This window comes from Homo sapiens, chromosome 2 (genome assembly GCF_000001405.40).
Source record: "Homo sapiens chromosome 2, GRCh38.p14 Primary Assembly".
NCBI lineage: Eukaryota > Metazoa > Chordata > Mammalia > Primates > Hominidae > Homo > Homo sapiens.
The window spans coordinates 234211169-234222788 of NC_000002.12; the positions used below are offsets into that span (position 1 = coordinate 234211169).

At 44.9% G+C, this 11620-nt stretch overlaps 1 annotated feature.

The window, feature by feature from the left end:
- Nucleotides 1599-2099: an enhancer, noted in NCBI's record as "H3K4me1 hESC enhancer chr2:235121411-235121911 (GRCh37/hg19 assembly coordinates)". NCBI's record gives its function as "activates a minimal SCP1, AML or CMV promoter by ChIP-STARR-seq in naive H9 embryonic stem cells {active_cell/tissue: H9 hESC(naive)}" and the evidence as "EXISTENCE:reporter gene assay evidence [ECO:0000049][PMID:30033119]".

The following is an 11620-nucleotide window of genomic DNA, read 5'->3' on the forward strand; positions in this document are numbered from 1 at the left end:
TTATTTTTGAATTTGTGAGTGATTTGGGTACTTTCTTTTAAACCCAGGTTATTAATTTGTAGGTTTGTTTGCATGTTGTTTAAAAATATGTTTTGTACAATTTCTACTTTTGGGGAATATATGTTCTGTAGGGGTGAGGCCATGACCAATTTTCCAAATTTTCATAGACACTTATATATGTCTATAAAGAAAGTTTATATATGTCTATAAATTTTTCTTTATTAATTACATTGATCAAATCTGCTGTGCTCATATGTATTTTCTGGGTGTTTAAGCTTTCTTGGACTAACAATATTAGTTTAAAATTTTACCACTGCTTTTCTGTTCAGCATTCTTTGGAATTAAAATCATTTTTGCTTTACTGGTTTTGATTCAACACCAAAGCTCTAACACAATTATTTTCTTACATTGCTTTGGGTTTTGCATCCACTAAAATGGTCTTATTTGTCCCATTCAACAGTATTTGCTTGAAATTTAATTTCTCTTCAGTTATGTTTCTATCTTCTTTATGTATGCTAACATTTGCATGTCATATATTTGTTCATCCTTTCATTTTTCATTTCCCTGTTTTTCCCTCTTTGGGCGTATTTTTATAAGTACCATGTCAGGGAGACTCTTGGAATTTTAATAAGTGGGTTTAATCCATTTGTTGTCCTGCTATGCTGCCGTGTTTTATGCTCTCAGCTTTAATGCTGCCTCCTGCTCACTTTCCTGTCTGCCCTTTGCCTTAGAGAAATATGTTTAGCTTGCTCTTATCTTCTGAAATGGTTTTGAACTTTGACATTCTAAATTTAATCCTATTAGAACAGTGCTTTCCAGAGAGTGTTTGGCAGAACACTCATCTCATGAGACGTTCTTTAAAAAAAAAAAAAAAAAAAAGATCTGTGGTCAAATACTTCGAGCTACATACCCCCAAGAGAGCCTTGAAGCACAGCAGGGTAGTAAAGGCTCTGAGAAGTCCTGCGGTGGGTGCAGGGGATGGGGAGGAGCCTGTCTTTGTTTTCCCAAGTTATTTTTTAGGAGGGCTATTACCGCCATTATAGCCTGAAGTTCTCAGCAAAATACTTCCCAAATGTTAACCAAAGATGATTTTCTGAACCTTCACTGGTGTGGGGGAATTCCAGTATTGATGCTTCTCTCCTTGTGCCCTATATAAGACGCAGCATACGGCTTAGCGTCCCAAGGAAGAAGAGGGTGAGCCCTCCAGAGCAAAGAGGTTCATAGGATGGGGAAAGGGGCACGTTTGACCTAGAGGAGACCCCCATGGGGCATGCAAGGGAGGAGAAAGCCCACTCGAGTTGGCAGGCTGCGGGGAGGCGAGGAGGGCAAAGAAGTGGAAAGTCAGAGTCCTGAGGCCTCCTCGGACTGAGCTCCCTGGGGGTAGGAAAAGGCTACAGACCCTGGAAAAACAGGAAGGAAAGGGGTAAGCAGGGCGCTTTTGTCCCACTGGGGCTCCAGGAGGAGAACAGCTTGCCCCTGTCACCACAGCAGCAGGGAGTGGTCCAGAGGGAGGGGCTGAGAGTCCGAAGTCACGCCCACCCAGGGCCCGTGGCAGATGTGGGCAGACACCATGGCCAAGGCTGCTGGGTGAGCTGCTGTCTGTGACTGAGACCCTGAGGACCAGCAGCTCTAGTGAGAACCAGCATGGGGCCCACAGGTCCCAGGGTGTGCTGGGGGAGCTGCCTGAGTTTCCGTAGTTCAGGAGTTAGCAGTAGGGCCAGACGGGCACCAGTGGAATCAGGACGTGGCTCGGAGGCCTGAGGGGGCCCCAGATTCTCATCAGAATTCCTTCCAGGGACAGAGAACACCGAAGTTAAAGACACCTGGACTAGAGGGGGAGAAAGGAACTATTTCCAAAGGTGCATCTGAGGGCAGGAGCCCCGCAGGGGGCAGTTCAGCATCCTCGGTCACTGAAGCCAGAGACAGGGAGGGTGTATGGAGAGGGGGAGGGTGCATGGAGAGGGGAATGGTGTATGGAGAGGGTACCTCCCACCAGCTGAGACCTTGACAAAGGACAAGGCAGCCCCCAGTGACACTTGAGAGAAAAAAACGAGGGCAAGTCACCCCCTCTCTCCCATCTCCTGCGATGCCCCTATGGACGTGGCCCTTACAGGTCAGCTTCTCAAAACTCAAAATCAGAAGAGGTTCGGCGTGAAGCGGGGAGAGAGGTGACACACAGGGACCAGCATGTGGGCTCAAGGTCCTCCCTGCCCCAATGCGGTGAGGTTAAGTCACTTTCCTCTCTACCCAGATGTCATCAAGCTAGAAAGGGCCAAGGACCACGGAAAAGGAGCCCCAGACACCTTTCATTAGGAAATTTGCCACTTCCTGGCCCCCTGATGCAGTGAGGTTAAGTTACCTTCCTCTCCCTCAGATGTCATCAAGCTGGAAGAGGGGGCCAGAGACCACCAAAAAAAGGAGCCCCATTTCCTGGTCCCACCAAGCTCATCAGTCTCAGTTCAGGGATTCTGACCTACAGGGGGAGGAATGATAGAAAATAACACTAGTGTGTCCAGGCATGGTGGCTCACACCTGTAATCCCAGCACTTTGGGAGGCCGAGACGGGCGGATCATGAGGTCAGGAGATCGAGAGCATCGTGGCTAACACGGTGAAACCCCGTCTCTACTAAAAAATACAAAAAAAATTAGCCGGGCATGATGGCGCGCGCCTGTAGTCCCAGCTACTCGGGAGGCTGAGGCGGGAGAATGGCGTGAACCTGGGAGGCGGAGCTTGCAGTGAGCCACTGCACTCCAGCCTGGGCGACAGAGCCAGACTCTTGTCTCAAAAAAAAAAAAAAAAAAAAAAAAAAAAAAAGAACACTAGTGTGTATTTTTGCACATCTGAGTGAAGTGCATAACAGTTAACCCTGACCTCCAAGTACATGAACAGATCATTAGCATGGATCAGTTTCTAAATACTTGTTTTAGTTGTAGCAAGCTCTAATGAAAGGCCTTCTTTGTTATGGTGAATGCCTATAAATCATTGCCATTTCCCCGCACAAATCAACACTAATTATTTACAACCCACATATTGTTAAACAGTGATGTCTCTGGATCTACCTCCCTTTAATTTAAATACTGTGTGATTAGCGGCCTGGTGCAGTGGCTCAAGCCTCTAATCCCAGCACTTTGGGAGCCCGAGGCAGGTGGATCACCCGAGGTCAGGAGTTCGAGACCAGCCTGGCCAACATGGTGAAACCTTGTCTCCACTAAAAAATACAAAAATTAGCCAGGCGTGGTGGAGCACACCTGTAATCCCAGATAGGTGGGAGGCTGAGGCAGGAGAATTGCTTGAAACCGGGACACGGAGGTGGCAGTGAGCCAAGATCATGCCACTGCACTCCAGCCTGGGCAACAGAGCAAGACTCCATCTCAAAAAATAATAAATAAATAAATAAATAATAAAAAATAAATACTGTGTGATTAGGAACCTCATGTGAGCTGTCTCTGTTAGACCCTATTGAATGCAAGCTTGGGGTAGATCCTCAAAAAAAGCTCTGCCTTAGAGTGAGAGATCCACGGTGTTTCTCTGTATATGACATGTCAGCGTCAGGAGCCAGTCCTGTGGAGATCCCCAGCAGTACTTGAATGAGTTGGGAAAAATGCAACAGCTCCACTGTTTGCACCTGCTCTTCACACATTCTTTCATCATCCAGGAAGCCTGGCGGGAACCATGAGTTGGAGCAATATAGGTAGATCATCTGCTAATCACAGGAAAAATTGATAATGGAGCTTCTAGAATCATTTCTAGGATGGCTTAGTAGGATGTTTTCAACAAGTTGTCCTCGGAGCTGTATTTTGCACCTCCTCATTCAAACTGTTGCGCTGATTCCTGACACATGAGGTTTCCACGAGGGAGGACTTTGGCTAGAATAGGGATTGCACATCAGAATCACCTGTGGAGCGTTTAAAAGCTGGTGCCTGGTTTCCACCTGGGCCAGCTGATCAGAACCTCTGGGGATAGTGTTTTGGTGTCTATGCTGTTTAAGGAGCCTCAGACAGCTCTGGTGTGCAGGTAGAATGGGCCTGAGAACAACTAAGCCGGGCGGAGACCTCCTAACTTCATCTGTCACTCACTCCTTCCAGGAGGAAGAGAAGTCAGTTGCTCCAGGTGACTACTGGAGGACGACCTAGATGTTTCCAGCCCAGCTCTTTACTTTCTTCTTCTTGAGCCTGCCCACCTGCAGGGAGAGTGTGCTCCAGTCTGTCAGGGACTGCCTATAAGGACCACACCCTGTGGGTGTCCAGCTGTGTCCCGGCCAGGTGAGTGCTAATTCAATGGCAAAATATTAGTAAGTGCTCCTCGCTGAGATCTTAAGCCATATCTCCAGTGGGCTTTGGTCAGCGATAAGGCTGGTATTTTCATCTCCTGCCTGGCTCTTCTCTATATCTCTGCTTCAAAATGCAGACAGTGAAGAGCAGACTGGTGTTTATTGACAGACTCTCCCCTAAGCTAATGCCATCTCATTGGCAGGTACTTTTCTGCTACTGGGGAAAATGTAGGGAATCCTCAGAATGTGTTTCAATGTCTATATTTGCCTTTTTATTTTATTTTATTTTATTTTTTGAGATGGAGTCTTGCTCTGTAGCCCAGGCTGGAGTGCAGTAGCACAATCTCGGCTCACTGCAACCTCCGCCTCCCAGGTTCAAGCAATTCTCCTGCCTCAGCCTCCCTAGAAGCTAGGATTACAGGCGCCCGCCACCATGCCCAGCTAATTTTTGTAATTTTAGTAGAGATGGGGTTTCACCATGTTGGCCAGGCTGGTCTTAACTCCTGACCTCAGGTGATCCACCCACCTCGGCCTCCCAAACTGCTGGGATTACAGGCGTGAGCCACTGCACCCTGCCCGAATGTCTATATTTGTAATAAAGAAATATGAGTAAATAGAAGCAAATTTAATCCAGTCTCATTATAATAAACACTTGCTTGTATGTTCCTTTGCTTTTATTCTAGTTTCTAAATTAACCTTCTGGAGATGAGGGACAAATACGTATTTGCAGGGGAAGTGAAAAATGATGACTACAGAAAGGCAAATTAGGATGGAGCCCTGGGGTCCTAGGATGTGGTCTTTATATGGGTATCAGGTCTAGCATGGTCCATTGAAATTTGCCCAGAGAGTCTGGTGGGGCCACACCTCCAAACATGGTGTCATCCTCCCTGTGACAGCTCTTGCCTAACCTATGTTTCCCCACGAACTCGGAGTACACATCCTGGTCTGAAATACAGCCCTTATCCTAAACCAGAGCAGCCATTACTGCATCGAGTGGCATGTACTTTTTTTAGAGTTTCTAATTCATATGGAAGAAATGTCTTTTAGGGAATGTTGTACCAAATTACATTCCCAGAAGAAATACATGAGAGTTCCCCAGTCTCACACTTCTTCTTCTTTTTTATCCTTCAACATGTAGATGAAAAATAACATGATGTGGTTATTTAACCTTCAGTTTGTTAATTCTGAGATTAAAACTTTACATATTTTATTCTTTTTTGAATTAAATGTCTCTTTATCTTCCCCTTAGAATATTTTTCTTATTTTTAAGAGATCTTTATATAGTAAAGTTCATACAGATTGAGAATATTTCCCCCAGGATGTCAATGTTATTAGTTTGTGGTGGTGGTTTTCCTGTTTTTCACAGAAATTTATAAGATCATTCATGATATTACTTTCCTTTATTTCTGCCTTTTATGTCATGTTATTCTACCTGAATATTTTATGAAGATTCACTTGCATTTTCTTCCCTTATGTTTTATTAGGTTGGAGCAAAAGTAATTGTAGTTTTGCCATTATTTTTAATGGCAAAAATCCCATAAAAATCCAAAAATCCCCTTCATAAACCTTCCCTCTCAATTTCCAAGTCTCAACCCCAAAATGGATGAGGGTGTTTAAAAACTGCACAAATAGATTTTAAAATCTGCATTGAAATTTCTGTACAGAGGTCTCATGGGAATGTAGTGTCTTGAGCCTCAGGTGAACCAATGGGTTGAGTCTCATTTTAATGTGTGGTTATAGCATTTTACAACCAATGAATATCTTGGACCTGGCAAAGCATGTGGCCAAATTTGGAAGCTTTCTAGACCCAGCCAACCTGCCGGGTGGTTTCTCCTGGGAAGAGAAACTGAGCATCTGACCATGACCCATGAAAGCAGAGCTGGGAGCCCAAAGGTGGGACACCATCCAGTCCCTGCTGGGACTAAGGAGGCTGCAGCCATTGTTGGGTGGATACCTTTCAAATGTGCTGAACAGGTTTTCACATGTGGCCCTGTGGCAGCAATAAAAGTCGCAGTGTTCTTGCCTGGGCAGATGCTCCAGTTTTCCTTCCACCTGGCATTGGGAGGCAGGACAGACCCTTCTAGTCCATGTGAATCCTTAACACCAGGACTCATGGACTAATGGACAAGATTGACCATGAGCTGATAATTGTTGAAGGCTGGTGTTAGCAATGGGATGCATTATACCCTTCAGGAGCAGGCTATTGTGGCTGTTAGTCCCAACCCTTTGCCAGGTACAGGGTGAGGATATCTGCTCCCACTGTGAGGTTAGTTTGAGGATTTTCACAGAGACTCTTTGGAGAACTTGAGGCATGTTCCCCACAGTGTGGGGCTGAACTGGCCTCTGACTTCCACCTGAGAAGTAGAAAGGCAGAGAGATGCTGACCAGCTGCTGTTGGTGAGCTGACCGAGAACAGGCACATAGGAACTGGGGTGTGCACACAGAGTTTCTTGGGTAGAAAAGGCAGAGAAACGGCCAGGTGCTGTGGTTCGTGCTTGTAATCCCAGCACTTTGGGAGGCCGAGGCAGGTGGATCACGAGGTCAGGAGTTCGAGACCAGCCTGGCCAACACAGGGAAAACCCATCTCTACTAAAAATACAAAAATTAGCTGGGCATGGTGGCGTGCGCCTGTAATCCCAGCTATGCAGGAGGCTGAGGCAGGAGAATCGCTTGAACCTGGGAGGTGGAGGTTGCAGTGAGCCGAGATTGAGCCACTGCACTCCAGCAGCCTGGGCGACAAAGCTAGACTCCATCTAAAAAAAAAAAAAAAAAAAAAAAAAAAAAAAGGCAGAGAGACGCTGACCAGCTGCTGTCAGTGAGCTGACAGGCGGGCACATAGGAACTGGGGTGTACACACACAGTTTCTTGGGGTAAAGAAGTCATGAGCATTCCCATTTGGTCCACATGGGTGATACCACAGTGGGGAGATGTTAGGTCTTGCAAAATAGAGTCCTTAGAGGGAAAAACCTTAATCAGAGAAGTTTGAGGTATTGCTGGATTCCTAGGGAGTGGCAAAGGGGTAAGAAGCCAGCTGGCATTTGTCCATATGATGGGAACGACAGGCAAGAAATCCTCAGGGACGGGGGAAGATTTCTCCAAAGAATCTAGAAATCCTTCTGCAAAAAAGAGTCAGTGCAAATATCTGCTGATCAAATTGGAACATCCCCAGCTCAAATTTTCACTCTTCCTGCAGCTCTAAAGTAGATCCTAAAGGGGGTGTGTGTGTGTGTTTGTGCACGCGCGTGTGCGCGCGTGTTTGGGGTGGGGTGTTAAGTGGGAACAGATGAGAGGGAAGTAGAGCAGAAGAGGAGCAGTACCATCTCCAGCTCAAGTGCAGTCTGCTTCCTGCACAGGCCTGGGCTGGGAGGAGGAGGGGCTGGTTGTCTGAATGAAGCTGTAAACTTCGACTTCTAGATGGAACTGACATTCTAATGACTAGCAGGAGACTGTGTGTTACTTAAGAATGGCCAGAAAAGCCAAGAAACTGCCCAGCTTTTTATTGGGGCAGAGAAAAACCCAGTGCATGGAATTCATTGCAAGGAATATCAGAAGACCAAACAATGTGATCCTTACACCTAGTGAATACTCTGGTTCGATGTGCTGGTTACATTTAGAATTCCAGGAGAGAAATAGTAGTAAGCTAATGTTACATTTTTTTCGAGCTCCGCTCTTAAGACTTTCACTTTTAACCTTCACAGGTTAAATATTATCTCATTTATCCTTCACAGCTCCCTGGGAGAAGACGCTCTTAACTCAGAGATGCGGAGACAATCACAAATGTAAGTAATTTGCCAAAGTTCATCAAGCAGTAATGGATGCATCTGGGGTAAATTAGAACTCTTAGCCCAGTAGAGTGGGGGAGTTGGGGCTGTAGATGGACAAGATTGACCATGAGTTGATCATTGTTAGAGGCTGGTCTGAGCAGATGGGGCACATTATACCATTCCCTCTATTCTCTTTTTCATGTTTGGAAATTTCCATAATAAAAAGTTAAAGAGTGTGTTGAGCAAGCAGTTTGGTGAGGATGCTGAACAATCAGAGGCTGTAGATTATAAATGACTGGGAGGCCCACACCTGTGCATTCTGGCTGAGGCCCAGCCCTGGTGCAGCAGGGATTCAAACCCACCAGTCTGCCTGTAGCCCACATTTCCACTGCCTCCCCAGACTGCCTGCTTTGTTGAAATGGCCAAAGGAGAAGTGAATCTTGTGACCAGACCCTTTTGTTCCCTCTGTCTATCACCTGACCCCTGGGTCTCTCCCTCCATCCCCATCTCCTCCTCTTAAGCTGATTGGAATATTGGGGCAACAGGGGGGATCCTCCCAAGGACTTGACAGGAAAATCAGATTTGCCCCATGAAGAGTTAAATTAACTGCAGATCTGAATGAAGATTTACAGAACCTCACTGCAGAGGCAGAATGAGTTCTCAGCTATTAATGGAGGAACCAGATGCTCATTTGTGTAATGAACAGGTTTCAAGGTCACATTTCTCTCTTTTCTATGAATGTGTATTCCTTGTAAAAGTCATAATAATAATCTGTTGGGGAAAGGGGTTTGATCACAAACACTGAGCATCTTTGACATCTGTGGTCTTCAACCACTAATGTACCGTTAAAGTGGCTCTAATAGTAGTTTAGGCACCAAACTGTGAGCATTTTGTTTTTGTTTGCAAGAATTAGAATGGATTTGAGATTGTCCTTATATTATCGTCACAGTCACTCTTCTGCGTTCTGCTGCATGTTCATAAGTGTGAGAGGAAATGGTAGAATCAAGAGTTGTCCTTGGACATCCAGGAAAGGTTTTGCACATTTGAGCACCAGTCATCATTTGTCTTGCAGTGGGAAGAAAAAAGTTAAGATCCACTGTTGTAGATGCTCAATAAGTGATTACTGAGTTGAATTGAACACTGAATCTTGCAGTTTCTATTCAGAACAGAAGAGTAGAGATAGAAAAATGGATTCCCTTTCATTCCTTTGAACAAAAACCTCACCCAGAGGGGATGGTATGCGTGAACTGAGGGACAGATTATTCTGTTTATCACCTTTTTCAGGAAAATAACCACAAAGAATTCTTCGTGGCACATCAAACGCTGGTTTTGTTAAAAGGTATTGATGATGATAAATTGGCCTTGAATAAAAGGTTTATGGTTAGGAGTAATTTTATTGATTTGGGGCCTGGCTGGTCTCTTGGAACTACAACATTATTTTCAGTAAATCGATTGTGTCTGGTTTGGGAAGGCTTTGTACTACATTTGTCTTAAATTATATTTAAATAATTGATCACAATTTGTATTTGTTCATGACCTTTAACTGAACTGTCACTGACCTGTGTTGGGCTTTGGAGATCAATTCTGTGGGTGGCTCATTAGTTCTTGTGAATTTTCTAAGATGCTTGATGTTTTTCTACATTTAAATTCTCTATTAGCCATTGAATTCAGAAATCAGGAATTCTTTTTGCAAAAAAGATTTTGCAAAATGAGATTTTGATGAGGAGACGTGTTATCTGACTCCCTTTGCAGTTATAGAGAGGCCATGGATATGGACATCATTTTCCTCTTTTGGAGTCAGATATTGAAACTCAAGGGCAAGGAAGGAAAAGTAACACCATGAATCCCAAATGAAGACCACCTCCTTTCCCCTCAGATCTGGGCCTCTGCTGTGACTTAGGATGTCTGTTCTTATTTTGTTTTCACCCATCACCAAGAATGAAGCCCTCAGTGCCATCTTTGTCTTCTTATTCTCTCCCCTGTCTCCACCATACCCATTTGTTGCAAAACTTCTCTTGGCTCTTTTATGCTGTCTTTCGTCTCTTCCCCCCTTTCGCCCACTCCATTGCTGCTCCTCTGATGCAGGCCCTTTAAGGAAGGGGAGCGGGGGACATAAAGGGTGGCTGCATGTGCACTGGCATCCCGGGAGAACCCCCAAATGGGGGATCAGTGTACTCTCTCTTAGATTTTTAGGAACTGAACATCAAATCTGGAAGCCTGAGTATGTCCTAACTCAGGGAGTCGCCTCTCTAGTCCAGAGTTTCCCAACTGGTTCTGAAGAGCCCCAGTGTTCCATGGGTGTGAGTGGCCTTCTGGTGGGCAGATCCAGGCCAGCAGCCCCTATTTCAACAAGACCTTCCAGGCTCATCTCTTTGAAATGATTTGCCGTCACTCCTTATGTGTAGGGAAGTGACACAATTCATCATAGGGGCAAATGACATTTTTGCTTTGGAAAACCCTTCAAGGTGGGTCAGGCTATAGGAGATAAAAAGGAATTATTTTGCCTTATATGGTGAAGTAGCAGAATGTTTGCATTTTCCGCAGGCAGCCCAGTGGACTGAGGGTGAAGAGCTTGTATCTCAATGATGAGGGTATATTAGGTTTCTAGGGCTGCCACTAAAAAGTACCAAAAACTGGGTGACTTAACAGAAATGCATTGCCTCACAGTTATGGAGGCTAGCAGTCCAAAATCAAGGTGTTGACAGGACCATACTCCCTCTGACACCTCTAGGGGAGAATCCTTTCTTACCACTTCCTAGCCCCTGATGATTGGCCAACAATCTTTGGCATTCCTTGGCTTGTAAACAACATCACTCAATCCTCTGTGTTCACATGGCCTTCTTACCATGTCTTTTCATGTCATCCTCCCTCTAAACAGGTCTGTGTCTGTATTCCAATTTTCTCTTTTGACAAAGACACCAGTCTTATTGGATTAGAGCCCACTCTAATGGCCTTAACCTCCACAGTGACCCTATTTCCTAATAAAGTCATATTCTGAGGTGCTGCAGATTAGGATTCAACATACCTTTTGGGGGCACACAGTTTAATCTGTTACAAGAGGAGATGAAGGAAATGCTCAAGAGGCAAGAGATTAAGAGGTTGGGATCTCATGAGAGCAAGCCCTTTGGTGAAGAATGGCCAGAAAATTGTTACAAATGGGGAAGTCTGCTATTAAATTTGAAGGAAATCCTGGTTGGGCATGGTGGCTCATGCCTGTAATCCTAGCAATTTGGGAGGCTGAGGCAGATATATCATTTGAGATCAGGAGTTCAAGGCCAGCCTGGCCAACATGATGAAACCCCATCTCCACTAAAAATACAAAAATTTGCTGGGCATGATGGTGCATGCTTGTAATCTCAGCTACTTCGGAGGCTGAGGCAGGAGAATTGCTTGAACCTGGGATGGGGAGGTTGCGGTGAACTGAGATAGTGCCACTGCACTGCAGCCTGGGTGATACTGACTCTATCTCAAAAAAAAAAAAAAAAAAAAAAAAAAAAAAAAACAGAAAAGAAAGAAAAAGAAATTGAAGGAGTTCCTAGTTTTAATCTATAATCACTTTCTTTTTCCCCAAGCCTTTAATAAAAG